The following is a 22044-nucleotide window of genomic DNA, read 5'->3' as shown; positions in this document are numbered from 1 at the left end:
TGGTAGAGTGAAACTGAATTCTGTGTGCTAAAGAAAGTGGGATAGCTGAGTTTAGAGTGTCTGTTAGTTTGCTAGAGTTGCCTTAACAAATTGAATGGCTGAAAACAACTGAGATTTATTGTCTCATAGTTCTGAAGGCTAGAAGTCTGAAATCAAGGTGTTCGCAGGGCCATGCTCAATCTGAAACTTGCAGGGGAAACATCCGTCCTTGCCTCTTCCTAGCGCCCAGTGGTTGCCAGCACTTGTTGATTTGCAGACACAACACTCTAATTCTCCATCTTCTCATGTCTGTCTTCCCCCTATGCATGTCTGTGTCTGAGCCTAAATTTCCCCTTTTTGTATGAATACTAGTCATATTGGATTAGGGTCTACCCAAATGACCTCATTTTAACTCAATTACCTCTGTAAAAACCCCATTTCCAAGTAAGATCACATTCTGATACTGTGGGCTAGGACTTTGACATATCTTTTTGGGAGGAGACAATTCAATCCCTAACAGGGGTGTCAATGAGTACCAAAGGATAAACTGAATTGTTTAAAAAAAAAAAGTATCAAAGGCCAGGCATACTACTTCTAAAAATCCTAAGAGAAGAAAATAAAAGCAGAAAGTTTCTGAATGATTATGGCATGGAAACATGAGAAAAGTAAGCTCCTGTTCTGGAGAGCTGCCCGTAAGTAAGGCTACGGTTTGAATGTTTATGTCTCCTCCACAATTCATATTGGAATTTAATCTCTATTGTGGTCGAATTAAGAGGTGGGGCCTTTAGGAAGTGATTGGGCCAAGAGAGCTTTACTAAAGGGCTGAGGGGAACTAGCTAGGCCCTTTGCCTTTCCGGCCCTTCCATCATGTAAGGATGCCACACAAAAGCCTGGCTATGAGGAATGGGCCCTCCCCAGACGAATTTGCCAGTACCTTGATCTTTCCAGCCTCCAGAACAGTGAGAAATAGATTTCTATTGTTTGTAAATTACCCAGTCTGTGGTATTTTGCTATAAGAGCACAAACAGGGCAACATAGTATAAAACAGGGAAAGGGGTGCTGCAAAAAAAAAAAAGTAGGACAACAAAAGAGAAAGCAGGACAATGGTGATGGCAAACTTTGTCCACTTCGCATCTTTACATGGGGCTGGTTTGAGGTGTTTTCGTATGTATAGGGAAAAGTCAGTTTAGTTTTATTCCCAGGTGGATAAATAGCAAATCATATTTGTGCCCTGTGATTTAGCCAAGCCACTTTATATTTTCTTTTGAAAGTGGGTTTTAAAAAATATTGACACCTGAATGGAAGTTACAGACATAGTAAAGTTATCAATGGGTCAAAAATATGGAACTCAAAGTTTTACTTGTCTGTAGTGGACTGTATCAGGCTATAGTGGGCTCCTAAGAAGATAATTTAAGCCCCAGAACCTGAGAATGTTGCCTTCTTTGAAAAAGCATCTTTGCAGATGTCATTAAAGTTAGGATTGTGAGATGAGGTGGTCATCCTGTATTGTCCAGGTGGGCCCTAAATCCAATGACAGGTGTCCTTATAGTAGAGAGACACAGACACAGAGGAAAGCGTGATACAAAGATGTGGGTGGAATTTATAGTCAAGGAACGCCAAAGCCACCAGAAGCTGGAAGAGGCAAAGAGCAGATCATCCCCTACAGCCCCAGAGTAAGCGTAGCGCCTACAACTGCGAGAGAATACATTTCTGTTGTGCTGAGCCACCTGGTTGCTGTGATTTTGTCATGGCAGGCCTAGGACATATGTAGTTTTGAAGAAAGTGGAGGCTCAATTTTTAAAAATATTTTTATTGTTTTCACAGTAAATAATCTCCCTTACTTAAAGAATACCCCTAACAGATATCTACTCATATTTTTTACCATTGCTCCAGTGCCATTTTATGACTTTGTATAACTGACAAAGTAAATCTATTTTTTATTGTTATTATACTTTAAGTTCTGGGATACATGTGCAGAACGTGCAGGTTTGTTACATAGGTATACATGTGCCATGGTGTTTTGTTGCACTCGTCAACTCATCATCTACATTAGGTATTTCTCCTAATGTTATCCCTCCCCTAGCCCCCCACCACCCTACAGGCCCTGGTGTGTGATGTTCCCCTCCCTGTGTCCATGTGTTCTCATTGTTCAGCTCCTACTTATGAGTGAGAACATGCAGTGTTTGGTTTTCTGTTTCTGTGTTAGTTTGCTGAGAATGATAGTTTCCAGCTTCATCCAGTTCCCTGCAAAGGACATGAACTCATCATTTTTTATGGCTGCATACTATTCCATGGTGTGTGTGTGCCACATTTTCTTTATCCAGTCTATCATTGATGGGCATTTGGGTTGGTTCCAAGTCTTTGCTATTGTGAACAGTGTTGCAATAAACATACATGGACATATGTATTTATAGTAGTATGATTTGTAATCCTTTGGGTATATACCTAGTAATGGGATTGCTGGGTCAAATGGTATTTCTGGTTCTAGATCCTTGAGGAATCGCCACACTGTCTTCCACAATGATTGAACTAATTTACACTCCCACCAACAGTGTAAAAGCATTTCTGTTTCTCCACATCCTCTCCAGTATCTGTTGTTTCCTGGCTTTTAATGATCGCCATTCTAACTGGCGTGAGATGTTATCTCATTGTGGTTTTGATTTGCATTTCTCTAATGACCAGTGATAATGAGCTTTTTTTCCCATATGTTTGTTGGCCTCATAAATGTCTTCTTTTGAGAAGTATCTGTTCATATCCTTCAACCACTTTTTGATGGGATTGTTTGTTTTTTCTTGTAAATTTGTTTAAATTCTTTGTAGATTCTGGATATTAGCCCTTTGTCAGATGAATAGATTGCAAAAGTTTTCTCCCATTCTGTAGGTTGCCTGTTCACTCTGATGGTAGTTTCTTTTGCTGTGCAGAAGCTCTTTCATTTAATTAGATCCCATTTGTCAATTTTGGCTTTTGTTGCCATTGCTTTTGGAGTTTTAGTAATGAAGTCTTTGCCCATGCCTGTGTCCTGAATGGTATTGCTTAGGTTTTCTTCTAGGGTTTTTATGGTTTTAAGTCTTACATTTAAGTCTTTAATCCATCTTGAGTTAATTTTTGTATAAGGTATAAGGAAGGGGTCCAGTTTCAGTTTTCTGCATGTGGCTAGCCAGTTTTGCCAACACCATTTATTAAATAGGGAATCCTTTCCCCATTGCTTGTTTTTGTCAGGTTTGTCAAAGATCAGATGGTTGTAGAGGTGTGGTGTTATTTCTGAGGCCTCTGTTCTGTTCCATGGGTCTATATATCTGTTTTGGTATCAGTACCATGCTATTTTGGTTACTGTAGCCTTGTAGTATAGCATGAAGTCAGGTAGCGTGATGCCTCCAGCTTTGTTCTTTTTGCTTAGGATTGTCTTGGCTATACGGGCTCTTTTTTGGTTCCATGTGAAAGTTAGAGTGGTTTTTGCTAATTCTGTGAAGAAAGTCAATGGTAGCTTGATGGGGAAAGCATTGAATCTATAAATTACTTTAGGCAGTATGGACATTTTCACGATATTGATACTTCCTATCCAGAGGCTCAATTTTTGTAGTGTCGGTTCTGATGGTCCAAGTTTAAGTTATAAGACTTTCCCACATTCAGCTCTTAAGTCACATTATCAGATGTCTGTGCCTGCGACATACATCAACTGATACAAACAAAGGAAGAGCAAACAGAATGATATTCATTAATTCAATAAATATTTAGAGAGCATCTTGAATATTTAAGTGTTCAAGATGCTGGGGAAGGCAGTGGATAAACTTCCTGCCTTCTTGAAGTTTACTCTCAGGTGGAAGGCCCAGAAAATAAGCAAATAGACAAACAAAAATTAACATATGAGGCAGAGATAGGCGCACTGAAATACAGCAGGGGTTGGTAGGGGAGCTGTGAGCTATGTAAGGAGGATGATCAGGGAAGGACTCTGAGGATGCAATCTTACAACAAAGACCTAAAGGAAGTGAGAGAGTGAGCCCTGCACAGATATGGTGAAGTCATTTCCTGGTAGAGAGAACAGCAAGTGACAAGACTGAGGCAGGCAGAGTGGCCGAGCGGGGTAGAGGGGCTGGAGACAGCAGTCATGTGGATGTTTTGGCACAGTAAGGGCTTTGCATCCATTCTAAGTGTGGTGGAGTGGGAATCAGTTTTCTGTCTCTCCAGGAGGAGAGTGGCTTGCAGGTAGTTAGTCCTCCTTGGTCAGTAGCCACCAAAACCTACCTCCCTCCGGTGGAGGCAGAGATTACCCACTCCCAGGTCCCAAGACTATGTGTTTGCCTCCCTTGGACCAGAAGATGAATTTCCTGCAAACCAACACTTGGAGACCTTCAAAGGTCCTGATTTCTTCCAGCAGGGGTCTGAAGGAGCCTGATTGTTGAAGCAAAACTTCCCGTTTACCTACTGATTGGAGGGTTTTTGAGCATCTGGAAGCCAGAACAAAAATGGTGAGTCAGGTTTTGAATCCATTTTCCCAAGGCCTTAAATGCCCTCAATGGATGGATGATGGCATTCAGAAGGGAATAAAGAAGGTCATTGCAGGGGAACACTGAGCAATCCCAGGGTTGGGGCATGCAGGCACCATACACGCTGCCTAGGGAGGCCTCACTGCCTGGGCCCAAGAGGTTCTGCCTTGCTCTTTAACGCTTCTTCTTTCTCTCTGCCTTACGCTCTCCTCTAAGCCCTCACTTTCTGTTGCCCCTGTTTATAACCCTTCTTGAGGGTGTACTACTGCTGTGTTTTTTCTTTCTAAGTTGGTGCTGAGGTGTCTAGAGAGCACCTATAAACTGTAGCCCCAGCCAGGCATGGGGGCTCACACCTTTAATCCCAGCACTTTGGGAGGCAGATGCCTTCTGGGGAAAGCAATAATCTCCATTAATTTAACATGTACCAGATTTCTCTTTAGGTATAGAATTATAGGGGTGTACATTTGAACAGAGAGCAAGGAAAACACTAGGATCATGGGCTAAGCAGCGAGTTCAGGAAGGAAAAACAAAAAATGTTTTGTGCTTGTGTTGTGCCTTAGGAGAGGAGGCCCATGGGCATAACTGGGTGGAGGTTTTAGTGTCTGGGTGAAGTGGGCTTGGCATGCAGGCAGGGAGCGAAGTCATCTCCAGCACTGAGATTTCAGGCCAGAGAGATGTCATCTGAGATGTGTGACTACAGTGTCCTTTTCAAGTGGGTACCCACTTGAGTTGATGTGGGCCTCTGGGTTGTAAACTAAAAACCCCCCAAACCAGTAGTAAGAGGTCACTAGTGGGGTCTGTGCTGCACCTGACAGGGCTTTTGTGGGGGGTGGAAGTTTACATTCTGCAGGGTTCCATATCAGATGGGCAGCAGCCTGGCCTGTGGGACAACAGTTCAGCAGTCCCTGGAGTGTATGTGCCCCCAAACTGGCCTCCAGCTCTAGTGAGAAGGGGGAAAGATTGAAAATGTAATTATAAGTAGCTTAAAGCCTGGCGCAACATAGAGCACTTCAGGGGTAATGTTGGACTGGAATTTGAAAAGGAGTTGTTTGAAGACATCCTTATGTCTCTCAGTTAAAGCACCTATTTGGGGCCTATTAGCAACATAAGTATTCTGTCAAATGCCTCCTTCAGATGCCCAGCATTGCGTATTTTAAGAAGTAAAATGCATGTCTTGGTTACTACCAGTAATGTCTGTATATCTGAAGGGAATGAGGTGTGTTTTTGGCAAGGCCTTGTATTGTGGCTTTAGTATGTGAGGGAACATGATTTTGCTTCATGTTTTGAGTATCTATAAGGCAAGAGGTTTCTAGAGTTTTTTACCTTGAAGGGGAGAATTTTTAGGTTATGGGCCAATCACTGATAATAAACTATATACAAATAGTTGATAATAGCTGAAAATGGGACTATTTGTTGATCAAGACACCCAGTACTAAGACGACTGCCTGAAGTCTGGCCAAGAGTGTTATTTCTTGGGTCCCGTCTTTTATTAGGGACATCCTGGCTAAGAGATGGAAAGCAGCAACATTTCAACAAGCTCCGTTATGTATGATGGTGAACCACGCTTTCACATAGTCTGTGAACTCCCATTACTATTCACTCAGTTAATCCCAAGTAGTCAAGGGGCCTAGGGGAGGAACAACCTCCTTCAGCATCTGGCATCTGGCAAGGGACTGATGACAGTGGAAGCCACCATCTCCTGCAGGTGGAATGTACCAGAGGGCCCAGGTTCAGCTCCATCCTGTCCTGAGGAGGTCTCAGTTCCAGTGCTGAGCTTGTGAGGTGCTGTTGCCATGATGAAAAGCATAGGGAGTAGCTTAGTTTAGAGAGTCACAGATTTAGGGTCTGTGACAGCCTCTATTTTTAAGACAGCCCAGTAGATAGCCAGGCATTTGTTGTTTTAATGATGTATAGCACAAGGCTGAAAGGGATAATTTCTCATATCAGAAGTCTTGGGTCATCAAATGGCCATCATAAGGGGTCCAGAGGCATGAAGAGAGGTTGCCAAAGCCTCTATAGTGAAGGAGCTTCTAAGGGCACTAACAAGAGTGCCTGTTGATTTTAATTTGCAAATAAAATTTATAAATGAAAATATATTGCCACCAGAACCTAAAAGGTACTAAAAGATATTGAATTTATACATTCTGTTGTTGTTGTTGTTATTGTTGTTGTTGTTGTTTTGAGACAGAGTCTCACTCTGTCACCAGGCCAGAGTGCAATGGCACAATCTTGGCTCACTGCAACCTCCGCATCCCAGGTTCAAGTGATTCTCCTGCCTCAGCCTCCTGAGTAGCTGGGACTACAGGCACACACCACCGCGCCCAGCTAATTTTTGTGTTTTTAGTAGAGACGGGGTTTCACCATGTTGGCCAGGATGGTCTTGATCTCTTGACCTCGTGATCTGCCCGCCTCGGCCTCCCAAAGTGCTGGGATTATAGGCGTGAGCCACCGCTCCTGGCTATGTTCTTAATGAGTGTGGCAACTGAGTCTCCTTGGAGGAGGATGCTGTCAACATACTGTAACGTCTACCTGTGTTCCCACAGAAGGTGGATCCCATTGAGATCTTATCGGCAAAGACTGTGCATGACAAAGCTGTTGAAGTACCCATGGGTAGCCTAGAAAAGGTGTACCACATTGTATCTCTTCAGAGCTAAAGGCAAACTGCAGCTAAGAGACTGTTGAAACAGGCACTGAACAGAACAAGCTGGCCAAATCTATAACAGCAAAATATTCACCAGTTATTGATTGAATAGCAGTAATTTTAATAATATGAGGGTATTGAGTATGAGGGCCTTGGTGGTTGAGACCACGGTGTTAAGGTTGTAGTAATTCATTATAAGATACATTTTATTTTTCCCAGAATAAAAAAGAGGAAAAATTGGCCTGTCAAAGTAGATGCAGTGGGGATAATCAACCCCACTGATTTTGTATCCTGATGTCATTTGTCAGGTGTGGGAGTCTTTTGGTGTAATCTTTAGTGTCTCCTAGGTATGAATCATGTCATCAGTAAAGAGAGATGATTTGACTTTTTTTAATGGAAAAAAAATGTAGCTCAGGAATGATTGTACTAAGCTACATCTTTTCCCTCCTCGGGTTTTGTTACTCAGCTTCTTTCCATCCTAGACCATCCATCCTCCCGCTGACCTTCCAGATGACTGCAGGTGCATGAGCACGCCCAGCAGGGATCAGCTGAGCAAAATCACCTCGCCGAATCATAGGTACATAGCCACTCTAAGCCACTAAATTTTGAGCTTATTAACTTACAGAAAAAACAGCCTGCTTGATTCATTTTTGCTATCTTTGAAGTAGTGGACATGTAGGGATGACAATGAAATTCATTTATTATTATGATTATTAAACCTGGGAATGCTGTCCATTAGTATCTTTTTAAAAAATTTAGATTCAGGGGTACATGTGCTGGTTTGTTACATAGATATGTTGTGTGATGCTGCGTTTGAGCTTCTTTTGAACCCATCACCCAAAGAATGAACAAAGTACCCAATAGGTAGTTTTCAACCTTAGCCCCTTCCCTTCCTTCCCCCTTTTGGAGTCCCCAGTGTCTATTGTTTTCATTTTTACATCTATGTGTACCCATGTTTAGCTCTCACTTATAAGTGAGAACATGTGGTATTTGGTTTTCTGTTTCTCTGTTCATTCACTTAGAATATTGGCCTCCAACGGCATCCATGTTGCTGCAAAGAACATGATTTCATTCTTGTTTATGGTTATGTAGTATTCCATGGTGTATATGTACCACATTTTCTTTATCCAATCCACCATCAATGGGCACCTAGGTTGATTCCATGTCTTTGCTATTGTGAATAATGCTGCAATAAACATGCAAGTGCAGGTATCTTTTTGGTAGAATGATTTATTTTCCTTTGGATATACACCCAGTAAGGAGATTGCTAGGTTGAATGGTAATTCTATTTTTAGTTCTTGGGGAAATCTCCAAATTGCTTTCCACGGACTTAACTAATTTACATTCCCACCAGCAGTGTATAAGCATTCCCTTTTCTCTGCAACCTGGCCAACATCTATTATATTCTGTCTTTTTATTTATAGTCATTATGACAGGTGTGAGATGGTATCTCATTGTGGTTTTGATTTGCATTTCTCTGATAATTCGTGATATTGAATATTTTTTCATGTTTGTTGGCTGCATGTGTGTCTTCTTTTGCAAAGTGTCTGTTTATGTCCTTTACCCGCTTTTTAATTGGGTTGTTTTTTTCTTGTTGATTTAAGTTCCTTACAAATTATGGATATTAGTCCTTTATCAGATGAATAGTTTGCAAATATTTTCTCTCATTCTCTAGGTTGTCAATTTACTCCATTGATAGTTTATTTTGCTATGCAGAAGCTCTTTAGTTTAATTAGGTCAATTTTTATTTTTGTTGCATTTGCTTTTGAAGACTCAGTCATAATTTTTTTGCCTAGGCCAATCTCCGGAAGAGTATTTTCTAGGTTTTCTCCTAGTATTTTTATAGTTTGAGGTCTTACATTTAAGTCTTTAATCCACCTCGAGTTAATTTTTGTATATGATTAGAGGTAAGTGTCCAATTTCATTCTTCTGCATATGTTTAGTCAGCTGTACTAGCACCATTTATTGAATAGAATGTCATTTCCCCATTGTTTACTTTTATTGATGTTGTCAAAAATCAGTTGGATGTAGGTGTGTGGCTTTATCTCTGGGTTCTCTATTCTGTTCCATTTGGTCTATGTGTCTATTTTTGTACCAGTACCATGCTGTTTTGGTTATTGTAGTCTTGTAGTATTGTTTGAAGTCAGGTAATGTGATGCCTCTGGGTTTCTTCTTTTTGCTTTGGATTGCTTTGACTATTTGAGCTTTTTTGTTGTTGTTGTTCCATATGAATTTTGGAATAGTTTTTTGATAGTTCTGTGATTAATGACATTGGTAATTTAATAGGAAAGCATTAAGTCTGTAGATTGCTTTGGGCAGTATAGCCATTTTAATGATATAGATTCTTTTCATCCACAAGCATGGGATGTTTTCCATATTTTGTGCCATCTATGATTTCTTTTAGCAGTGTTTTGTGGTTCTTCTTGTAGCTATCTTTTACCTCCTTGGTTAGATATATTCCTAGGTATTTTCTGCATGTGTGTGACTGTTGTAAATGAGATTACATTCTTGATTTGGTTCTCTGCTTGAACATCACTGGTGTATAGAAATGCTACTAATTTTAGTACATTGATTTTGTATCCTGATGTCATTTATCAGGTCTGGGAGTCTTTTGGTGTAATCTTTAGTGTTTCCTAGGTACGAATCATGTCATCAGTAAAGACAGGTGATTTGACTTCCTCTTTTCCTAGTTAGATGCCTTTTATTTCTTTCTGTTAATTGATTGCTCTGGCTAGGACTTCCAGAAGTATGTTGAATAGGAGTAGTGAGAGTGGACATCCTTGTCTTCTTCATTTTTAGGGAGAATGGTTTCAAGATTTGCCCATTCAACGTGATGTTGGCTGTGGGTTTGTCATAGATGGCTCTTATTATTTTGAGGTATGTTTCTTTGATGCCTAGTTTGTGGAGGGTTTTTATCATAAACGGATGTTTGATTTTATTGAATGTTTTTTACTGCATCTCATTTTGAGATGATCATATGGTTTGTATCCATTCCGTTGATGTATCATGTTTATTGATTTGTGCATGTTGAACCGTGCTTGCATTCCTGGGATAAAATCCACTTGATCATGATGAATTATCTTTTAGATGTGGTGTTGGATTCAGTTTGTTTATATTTTGTTGAGGGTTATTGTGTCTATATTCATTAGGGATATTGGCCTGTGGTTTTCTTTTTTGTTGTTGTATCTTTGCCAGATTTTGGTATCAGGATAATACTGGTTTTATAGAATTAGTTATGGGGGGATCCCTCTTCTCAGTTTTTTTAAAATAGTTTCAGCAGAATTGGTACCAGCTCTTCTTTGTAAATCTGGTAGAATTCAACTCTGAATCCCCCTCATCTGGGGCTATTTTTAGTTGGTAGGTTTTTTTGTTTTTTTTTTTACTGATTCAGTTTTGTAACTTGTTATTGGTCTGTTAAGGGTTTCAATTTCTTTCTGGTTCAATCTGGGAAGGTTGTGTGTTTCCAGAAACTTATCCATTTCCTCTAGGTTTTCTAGTTTGTGCACATAGAGATCTTTCGTATTTCTGTGGGATTGCTTGTAATGTCACCTCTGTCATTTCTGATTGGATTTTCTCTCTCTTTTTCTGTTAATCTAGCAAACAATCTACTAATCTTGTTTATCTTTTCAAAAAATCAACTTTTAGTTCCATTGATTCTTTGTATTTTTTTGTATTCTTGATTTCATTTAGTTCTCTGTCTTATTTTTTTTCTGCAAGTTTTGGGTTTAGTTTTTTCCTGTTTTTCAAGTTCCTTTATGTGCAACATTAGGTTATTAATTTGAAGTATTTCTATCTTCTCCATGTAGGCATTTAACACTTTCTCTTAACACTGCCTTTACCACATCCTGGAGGTTTTGTTATCTTGTGTCTCTATTTTCATTTGTTTCAAGGAATTTTTTGATTTCTGCTTTAACTTCATTATTCACCCAAAAGTCATTCACGAGCGAGTTGTTTAGTTTCCATGTATATGTGTGGTTTTGAGAGTTCCTCTTGGTATTTATTTCTATTTTTATTCCCCCGTGGTCTGAGAAGATGGCTTGATATGATTTCTATTTTCTTTTAATTGATTGAGACTTGCTTTATGACCCATCATGTGGTCAATCTTAGAGTTTGTTCTCTATGCATGTGAGAAGAATGTATATTCTGTGGTTGTTGGGTGGAGTAGTCTGCAGATGTCTATTAGGCCCAACTGGTCAAGTGGTGAATTTAAGTCCAGAATTTCTTTGTCAGTTTTCTGCCTCAATGATCTGTCTAATGTTGTCAGTGGGATGTTGAAATCCTCCACTATTATTGTGTGGTTGTCTAAGTCTTTTCTTAGGTCTAGTAGTGATTGTTTAATAAATCTATGTGCTCTAATGTTGAGTGCACATATATCTAGGATAGTTAAATCTTCTTGTTGAATCAAACACTTTTTCATTATATAATACCCTTTGTCCTTTTTTGCTGTTTTTGGTTTAAAGTCTGTTTTATCTGATACAAGAATAGTGATTCTTCCTCCTTTTTGTTTTCCATTTGCATAAAAGATCTTTCTCCATCCCTTTACTTTGAACCTATGGATGTCATTACATGTGAGATGGGTCTCTTGGAGACATCAGTTGGGTCTTGTCTTTTTTATCCAATTTGCCACTCTATGTCTTTTAAGTAGACCACTTAAGCCATCTACATTCAAGGTTAATGTTGATGTGTGAGGTATTGTTCCTGTCATAGTGTTATTAGCTAATTTCTTTGTAGTCTCAATTGTGTAGTTGCTTTATAAGCCTTGTCAGCTACGTACTAAAGGTGTCATTTTTTTGATAGCAAGTATCATTCTTTGGTTTCCATATTTAGAACTCCCTTAAGCATCTTTTGTAGGGCTGGTCTGGTGGTGACAAATTCCCTTAGCAATTGCCTGTGTGGGAAATACTTTATTTCTCCTCCATTTATGAAGCTTAGTTTGGTAGTATATGAAATTCTTGGCTGGCATTTCTATTCTTTAAGATTGTTAAAAATAGGCCCTGAATCTCTTCTGGCTTATAAAGTTTCTGCTGAGAAGTCTGCTGTTAGTCTGATGGGATTTCCTCTGTAGGTAATATGGCCCCTTTCTGTAGCTGCCTTTAAGATGTTTTCTTTTGCATTGACCTTGGATAGTCTGATGACTATGTGCCTCGGGGATGGTTGTCTTGTATAGTATCTTGCAAGAGTTCTCCAGATTTCTTATATCTGCATGTTGATCTCTCTAGCAAGATTGGGGAAATCTCCCTGTATTATAAACTCAAAGATTTTTCCAAGTTGCTTACTTTCTCTTCTTCCCTCTCAGAAATGCCAATAAGACCTAGGTTTGGTAACTTTACATAATCCCATATTTCTTAAAGGCTTTGTTCACTTTTTTAAATTCTTTTTCTTTATTTTTGTCTGACTGGCTTGATTTGAAGAACCAGTCTTTGAACTCTGACATTCTTTCTTCTGCTTAGTCTACTCTGTTTTTAAGGTTTTCAACTGCATTTTGAAATTCCTGTAGTGAATTTTTCAATTCCAGAAGTTTCGTTTGGTTCTCTTTTAATATAGCTTTGTTGTCTTTCAAATCTTGGATTGTTTTTCTAACTTCTTTATATTGTATTACAACCTTCTCTTGGGTCTCATTGAGTTTCCATGCCATCTATATTTTGAATCCTATATCTGTCATTTCACACATTTCAATCTGATTAGGATACATTACTAGGTAATTAGTGTAAACCTTTGGAGGTAATGAAACACTGGTGTTTTGTTTTACCAGAGTTCTTGTGCTGATTCCTTCTCATCTGAGAGAGCTGATGCTTTTTTTTTTTTTTATTTTTTTTTGGAATTTGCTATTGTTCGGATGGGGCTTTTTGATTTTTTATTCTTTTTTCCCTTGAGGGTATGACTGTGGTGTATGTTATGTATGATTGATTCACTTCATTTCTGGGTGCTGTCAGAGGGCCAAAGCTCTGTACAGGCTCCTTGGTTGCAGATAGGTTCCTGAGGTGGCTTTCTCGATGTAGCGATTTATTTTTGTTTGGTGGTGTAATTCAGGCTGTTTTCCAGTAGATGGGACTTAACAGGACGATACAGCAGGTAGGTTCTTAGCACAGATTCACCCTCAGTAGGTGGTAGGGTAAGTGCCGGCTTGCCTTCAGCAGGGGTGAAGCTGCTGGAGAAACGTGAAAAGCATCCTCTTTCAGCACAAGCTCACATGGAGAACAGTATACTGGGGAGGGTTGCAAGGGGCAAGAGATGACCCCCTCGCCAAGTCTCCAAGTCTGTTCCCAGGCTTTGATTGTACCGCCTTCCATGGTTGGCACTATGGCCACCTTTCCTTTGTCCCAGTGGGACTTTGTGGGGGCTGCACATTCCCCTCCTTTAGGGGCATTCTGCACTGACAGTTAGATCTCCAGTGGACCCACAACTCCCAATGGACAAAGTCAGAGCAGGATGTGGGGTATGTCTGCAGGTAGTCTGGGGATGCAGTGGCTCAAGGGTGGAGGATCCCTGGGCAGGGCACTGGCACCACATGTGCACAACTGGTATGGTTCACATTACATTATCTCAGCCTGGGTCTGAGGGTGGGGTGCAGCACAGCTGCATGAGCTGGCCACCTGGTTCTCTGTTCTCAGGAAGATCTCTAATCACCAGCAATAGTGTTGCCCTGAGTCAGGGGGGCAAACAGTTTAGCAGTCAGCATTGTCAGAGGTGGGAGGGGAGAAGAGAAGCATTCCTGCTTACCCTTTCTGCTGGGCTCTGAATTCCTCGGGGGTCTCTGAGTTCCTTGGGGACTGATCTTAGCCAGACTTTTGCTACTTTTATTTCTGTATGCCCTAGCCTCTTCATGTGGGGGACTCCAACAGGTTCTGGCTCTCCTCCCTCCATTTTCCACTCAAAACTTGACCATTTACCCACAACTTTGATTTTCCTTCTCAGGAGAACTAGCATGTGATGTCCCTAGTCAGCTGTCTTGAAAAGCTACTATAGTGGTCCATTCTCACATTGCTATAAAGAAATACTTGAGACTGGGTAATTTATTTAAAAAAGTTAATTGGCACACAGTTCTGCAGGCTATACAGGAAGCATGGTAGCATCTGCCTCTTGGAGGCCTCAGGAAACTTACAATCATGGCAGAAGGCAAAGGGGGAGTGGGCATCTCACATGGCCAGAGCAGGAGCAAGAGAGAGAGTGAGGGGGGAAGTACCATACACTTTTAAACAACTAGATCTCATGAGAACTCATTCACTATCATGGGAACAGCACCAAGGGGATGGTGTTAAACCATTCATGAGAAATCCACCCTCATGATCCAATCACCTCTCACCAGGCCCCACCTCCAATATTGGGGATTACAATTTGACATTGAGATATGGGCAGGGACACATATCAGCTACCCATCTTATTTATTTTTTATGTAGAAAATATATGCAGTAGTCTCCCCCAACTGAGGTTTCATTTTCTGCAGTTTCAGTTACCTGCAGTCAATTGTGGGTCAAAAATATTAAATGGAAAATTCCAGAAATAAACAATTCATAAGTTGTAAATTTTGTGCGGTTTGAGTAGCATGATGAAATCTCATGCCATTCTGCTTCGTCCAGCCTGGGATGTGAATCATCCCTTTGTCCAGGGTGTCCATTCTAAAGATGGCACCCATCACTTACTTAATTAGCCATCTAGGTTATCAGATCAAAAAAACATGATACTGTATACATAGGTTGTATATATATTTGGTACTACCCACAGTTTCTGGGATCCACTGGAGGTCTTGGAACATATCCTCCATGGATAAAAGGGGACTACTCTATCGTGTATGTGTTGCTAACAGCCACACATAAACACATAGATGAATAAGACATAGTTTTCACAATCAAAGATACATCCTAACATGCATTTGCTTTTGAGACTGGTTTTGTTAGATAAATAAGTTTGTAGTCTGTAAAACAGGCTACGATATTTAAGAATATTAAGTATAGATAAGTAACTAGTAAGCAAAAAGTTTGCTAGACATTGGTAGGATACATAGAATTTATTAAGTATAAGTAGTAAGCAAGTAGAATGTATGGATGTCTAACATAGATTGAGACAAATGGAAGAATCAAGAGACACCTAATATCAATGAGTTACCTAGGAACTAAATATATGTGAGACTAAATATATGAGAAACACTAAATATTTGGGATACACCATACATGAGCACTTAATATTCATAAAGTCATAATTTAGCCACCCATTGGTGACACTCATTCTGGCTCCATGTGTCCTCTGCCCAAGGAGCATGAATAAAACTCATGGCTGTTCAGCAGGCTGATTGGTTGTAGCTGTGGCCAGGAGTGCCTGTCCCTGCATCTCTTCAATGGAGCAAGTGTGTGTGGTTGTCTCAGGGCAACTTCTGTCTATGGTTCCCCTTGCTAGAGCCTCAACTCTGATCCTTATAACCACCACCAGCTGGGAAGGATAATGCACTGCCCATATGCATGGGCACACAGAGAAAAAGAGAACGGTGACATATGAACACTGAGCACTTACAATTCAGATTGTGTGATTCTTTTACCCAACTTGCATTCAGTCCTACATGTGTTCATTCACCCCATCTCTTTTCCATCATTTTCCACTGTGAGCTTTAAATGGACTTCATAAGCCATGCGATTTGAGCATTTTAATTTGGTTCTTAAAGCTTTCTGTTCTGTGACCTCTGGGATAGCTTGCCTGGTAATAGACTTGGAGGCTGTCATTGTAACAAGGTGATTTCCCTTGTGACACAAGTGAAAAAGATGAAAGCCACGCCACAGAACCATTAGCTGAATAGCTCCCAGAACTTCCATTATCTCAAGGACTATTTATCCTGCATTTCATTCCATTGCTTCTCTTTAGTTCACCCACCTCCTCACTTCCTCTTTGTTTCATCCAAAGCTATTTCTTTCCATGGCTTCTCTTTAGTTCTACCACCTCCTCCCTTCCTCTTTGTTCTATCCAAAGCTATTTCTTCCTCAGGCTGCAGAGAGAGCTGCAGGTAGGAATATCACTGGCTGGAGTCACTCAGTCTACTAGAACACTTCCAAGGGCCTGATGTCTTCCAGCATGGGTCTGAAGAAACCTGATTATTAAGTGAAGCTTTGCTTTTACCTACTGATTGAAGGGTTATTTACCAGCTGGAAGCCGGAACAAAAAATGATGAGACGGGCTTTGAATCCATTTTCCCAATGCCCTAAATGAATGGATGATAGAATTCAGGAGAGAGCAAGACAAAAAGAGCTCCTTCTGAAATGCGACATTCTGGCGTTTTTCACAAGTTTAGTGCAGTTGGTTCTGGAGGCACAGCGTGGAAAAAAAATTGTAATGGTTCATTAGTTCATTCGTGTTATAGTTCATTAGTCTCAGGGAAGGTAGCCCAAACCCCTTCTGGTATGACAACCCAATCTGAAAGGTCTCAGAGGAAAAATTCTTCATCTTCCATCATAACCACTTTGTCAAATAATGTCTACAAATAGAAAGCTTGTATTAGCATATTTATTCAATATTCAATAAATATTTAGTGAGTACTTGCACTGTCAGACACAAATTAATGAATTAAATAGGATTTTGTTGCCACTACAGTTGTGCAAAAGAAAATACTCGAGGGGTGAGTATTATTTATGTTTCATTTGGGTTGAAGATCCAAGACAATGGAAGGCACACTTCAAACTTTGATGAGTGTCCCCTGCACACTGAGTGTCACCCAAGGGCTGGTGTTCAATGACTACCAGATGAGCCCCAAGGTCAGAGGTGCGTTAGCCAGCTGCTCTGATGCTGGAGCAAAGAGAGGTGACCACATTGGGAGGTTACCTGCTGTCACAGAGTTGGTTGGGAAAATTATTACATGAGCGTGTCCTTAGATGTGGGCCATGAGAGAAATCCTGTCCAAGGCAGGATAAAGCGACCCTAACCGGAGGATGAACCACTGTATGCCAAGAGGCTAAAGAAGCAGCCCCAGGCAATACAATGACCCACAACAGGAAATGCAGCTGAGACATCCCCAGGGATGGGTGATAGTCTGAAAAATCCACCGATGGTCTAGGAGAGAGACAGCTCACATACTTCCCAAGCCCAGGGAAAACCCCCCTTTTTCCCCTTCTCCCTATCCTCCACCCAGCTGTGATGCTGGGAGGTCAGAAATGAAGGTAGCAAAAAGGGGATGTGGAAGGAGGTCAGCTGTGAAAAGAGTGGAGCAGCCAACCTCGTCTCTTCCCGCTGTTCACAGCCAGCTATGGCCAGCCTCAGCTGGAAAAAGCAGTTGAACCTTGAATGAAATTCAAGGATTGCATATTTTAATTACTGACTTGAGATTGTTTTTATTACCAGAATGTGATCAGAAAAGCCCTGGGACTTACTCTAAATTGCCATGAGACAGGGGAAGGTGCAAAGCCCTAGAATTTAAAAGGACAGTGGGAGACAAATAATAAAGTTACTTTTGATTAAACTCATGGATTTCACTGGTTTAATTTATGGTTAGATCAGTGGTCTACTGTAACAATCTATTTTAATTTTCTGATTGTATCCCTGCTAGTAATTATAGGGTTATTTTTAATAACACACACATATTTGTGTGTTTGGGTGGACACATACATTCTTCTCAGTGAATACTATGTTAATGGTATGTGAACACACAAAAAGATTATTCCTCAATAATCTTCCTTATACATTCTTGGGCAGCTTGTTTATCTTTCTTTTTGACTGACTCACCTTTATTGAGAAAGCATTCAATTTTTCATAGAAACAGTTCTCTTTTTACGCTGAAGTATCATTAGTTATATATATATATATATATATATATATATATATATATATATTTTTTTTTTTTTTAAACAGGGGCTCACTCTGTCACCCAGGCTGCAGTACAGTGGCACAATCATGGCTCACTGCAACCTTGACCTCCTGGGCTCAAGCAACCCTCCCACCTCAGCCTACTGAGGAGCTGGAACTACAGCTGGAACCATCACGCCTGACTAATTTAAAAAATTTTTTTTGTAGAGACAGGATCTCCCTATGTTGCAGAAACTCCTGAGTTAGCAATCCTTTTGCCTTGGCCTCCCAAAGTGCTAGGATTACAGGCATGAGCCACCACACCCAGCCTTAGTTACATAATATTTAACTAGATTTTGTCATTAAAGGAACACGTACAATAGGCTTAGTTTCAAGTCATTAGCAAGCACAACTGACTCTTGTAATTATACACTCTAACAAATGGAAGGATGTGTGAGACAACTACCTGAGTTTAAACACTCCATGGGCACCCGATGAAAGGTTTAGCAGAGGAAATGGTGACTGTCAGTGAATTCAGCAAATTATTTCAGAGAAAGTAATTTAAAGGTCTAACATTTTTCTCCTGAAAATGTTAATTATCTATTTTTTTTCTTGGTGTTTGTCTTACTTGTAGAAATTCAGCTTCCTGAAACACCCCAGTTCTCCAACAGTTTCATTCAGTGTATCTGTGGGGATATTTCATGTAACAAGTCTCATCAGTTTACACACACATATAACAGAACACATAGGTACAGCTTGGATTATTATAAAGTGAACACACCCATGTACCCAAATGAAAGGAAGAGAATATGACAGGAATCTCAGAAGATCCCCACACTCACATCACATGTGTAGTTCACATCACTACAATTTCCCTGTTTCCCAGAGGTAGACACTATCTCATCAGCTTATCTAATATATTATTAAACCTGTACTTTGAGTTCCTGACTTTAGTTATTAAGATTTTCAGTTTTGGAATTGATTTTAAAATTTAGGCTTCTTGTTCTCTACTGAAGTTCTCCATCATATCAGATAACTTATAGAACTTATTTATCACAGTCGTTTTAAATTCTGGGTCTGAGGAGTCCGAATTCTAGCTCTTCTATGGGTCAGTTTGTATTCTCTGTATTTTCTCTTGTTATTTAGTCATTTCACCTTCTTTCCTGTTATGCCTGATAATTTTTTAATTAAATGACAGATTTGGGGTATGAAAAATCACAAATAAAATTTAAGGTTCTAAGTGGTGCTTTTCCTTTCAGCAAACAATTAGGATAGAGACAGATCATCTTAATTTAATCATGGATTGAGCTATTTCAAAGCTGAGCTGCTGTTATTCTAAAGGCTTATCCATGTCCAGCTTCTTCTGTTCCCAGTATAGCATTTTTTAGGTCCCAGCTGAAAGCTAGGGTCTATCCTTGATAGTTTTTGAATCCACTTTTTCCTCCAATATCCTAAGACTGGTAGAAGTTCTCCTCAACTTTTCAGCTTCTCAGTGTTGCTCATGAATTGGCAAACACCTTAGGAGGAAGAGTAGACTGAATGTTGAACTTACATTATTGTGCCTTTCTTCTCTCTGGAATTTTGACCCCCTAAGCCATAGCTGTCTTAGTAGGTCTCTCATGCTTTCAAATAGATATTTTGCTACATTTTATCAAACGTTTCTAGTTCTTGGCAGGAGTATTGCCCAGCAATAAGCTATCAGAAGTATTTTTTAAAATCCCTGTTGCTGTTTGTGGTATCCCATGACTTTTTTCAAAATACAAGTTTTCTAGTGTTTAAAAAGTTTATCTACAGTAAATTGTACTAATATTGAACTGTAAGCCATCATGTCATGGTTCTGTCCTCAATGGAGTTGGAAAAAAAAAAAAAGCAAAAATACTGTTATTGATAGAAAAAAATAACCCAGGAATTTGTTATGGTAGAGTTAGTTTCTAAATGGCTTGCTTCAGTGCACCGGATGTAGGATCCTTAGTTTTAAGAATCTGGTCGCTCTCCCAGTAAGCAGGTTAAAGCCTGGCCATTCCTTGTGCTGCCCCATTTTTGATTAATAAGTTTACTAACATACTGTCTAGTGTGAGCCTTTAGTAGCTAGGCTAAAACATTTAAACCAAGCGTTAGAAATGGCCTTGAATTTGTCAAGTTCAAAGCAAGAAATAGTACCTCATTTGAAACTAACAAAGTGCCAAGAAAGTGCCTTGCTGACGTTTTTCCTGGAGTTTGATTTTTTCTTTCTCTGTGCCTTTTATCTCTGTCATCCAACTTTATTTTAATTATTTGTTCCCACCAACGTGACAGAATTGGGTCATTCCAAATTCTGTGCAGCAGATAAAACTGCTCTTGTGCAAGCCAGGGAAGGAAAAGCCTTTGAATCCCAGGTGCTTTCAATAGAACAAAATTAACATTCAAGGCTGCACTTGGCTAGATAGTGTGCTTCTTTCAGTGAGCAGAAAAATTAGAGTGTTTATTTATAGCTCTCTTTGAAAAGAGCAGTGTCCATTTTCACCACCAACAACAAAAAATGGTTCTCTTTCCAACTTGGCATATTTTTTCTTTTAGACTAATACTCTTTCCTAAGTTAATATTGATTGCCAATTAAGGCAAATATGTAAATTCAAATGTCAAATGATATGACAAAATTATTTAATGTCTGTAAGCTGTAAAGATAATCAATTGTATTTAATTCAGCATACTTTTATTGAATTTTTATAATAATCAAGTCACTTTTTTAGAACATTTTGAAGGATGCATGAATGAATTGAAGTAATTTTTCATCTCAAAGAATTTCCAATATAGTAACATGAAACTGAAAGTAATTGAAATAAGAAATATAGAGGCAAAAGGTTACCATACAGAGTGGAAACAGATTATTTTTGTTCGGCAACATAAATGAAGGATGTAAGAAGTAGAATTTAAGCTAGATCTTAAAGGGTAAATAAGTTTCATCAAACTTATCTTAAAAGTCACTTTTCCGTGAAGCACTTCCTGCTGTCTCCCCAACGTGCAACTGGCTACCCTCCTCTCACACACATCCTTCATGCCATTCTTTTCTGGACATACCTTCTACCTGTAATTTATTTGTTTGCTGTTATGTCTCATCCAATCAAACCATAAACCCCTTAAGGAGCCTCCAGAGCCTGACACAGGTTAGCAGTATTCTAGCCAGGAGTGAACATTTATAAGCATTTGTTTAATTAGTTAAATAACTAATCAATTAATTCACAGAGAGACTAAAAAGAAAGGAGAGCCAGGATTCTAGTTTCATCGTTATTACAGGTTGGGATCCCCAGGAAGCAAATTCTCATTACACACTAGCATCACCAGGTATGAGTCTTTAAAAACATTTTAGTATGGAAAATGTCAAACCTTTACAAAAGTAGGTTGAATCATACAATGAACCCACGTGCTCATCACCCAACTTCAATAATTATTAAGGCATGGCTAAGCTTGTTTCATCTATACTTCCACACACTCCCACCCACTCTTACATATTATATTAGTATTTTGAAAGAAATCAGGGGGCTTTTTAAAAAAATACTGATGCCCAGAGATTCTCATTTAAAAGGTTTGGATGCAGTGGTTTAGGCTCCTCAATGCTTCTAATGTGGACCAGGAATTGGAACAACATGAATACATGTGGTTAAAGCACTACAGTTAAGCAATTTCAGGAAGAATTCAAGGATTGGTGAATTTCCCTATCTAGCCAGAGCCTATTTTCAGTCTGAGATAATAACAGAAGTGGCAGGAAAAAGGGCTAGGTTGGGGAACAGGGAGGCAAGATCAGTCTTCCCTGTTAGGCAGAGTTTGAATTTTATTCTGAAGTTTATTTTTATTGTCATCCTCATTATTGTTTTGGACGGAGCTCTGGCCTCTGTTATTAATTTCCAGATGGGAAAATTGGATACTGAGCAATTAAATGACTTAGCTAAGCACGCAGGTTAAATTAACATTGAAAGTCAAACAATTAAACCAAGATTATTCATTTCCAGGAAATCTCTGTGATTTTTCGTGATTTTCACAATGATTTCTAGTAAAGGAATTATTTCTCCTAAAGTAAGTAAAAGTGTGTAAGTTAGGTGTATAGAAATGTATAAGTGCTATTGGCTAAAGCAGGGGTCTCCAAGGGGTTAGGTCCCGGTCCCGGGCCTGTTAGGAACTGGACTCACAGCAGGAGATGAGGGGGGC

General features: G+C 39.6%; 1 long non-coding RNA gene across 5 annotated transcripts in view; it reads left to right on the top strand.

The window, feature by feature from the left end:
- Window positions 1-4014: 4014 nt before the first annotated feature.
- The window catches only part of LOC105378005 (uncharacterized), a 92629-nt gene continuing 74599 nt past the window's right edge, over window positions 4015-22044 (top strand). For 2 of the 5 annotated variants that reach the window (XR_007059771.1, XR_007059769.1), the window contains exons 1-2: window positions 4015-4445; window positions 7587-7681. This is a non-coding gene — a long non-coding RNA (uncharacterized LOC105378005). Of the gene's footprint in view, window positions 4446-7570; window positions 7682-22044 lie in introns of all 5 variants that reach the window. The other 3 variants (XR_001744344.2, XR_942996.3, XR_007059770.1) reach the window with 3 other exon arrangements.

This window comes from Homo sapiens, chromosome 6 (assembly GCF_000001405.40).
Source record: "Homo sapiens chromosome 6, GRCh38.p14 Primary Assembly".
NCBI classification, from domain to species: domain Eukaryota; kingdom Metazoa; phylum Chordata; class Mammalia; order Primates; family Hominidae; genus Homo; species Homo sapiens.
This window is presented reverse-complemented; position numbering and strand designations above follow the sequence as displayed.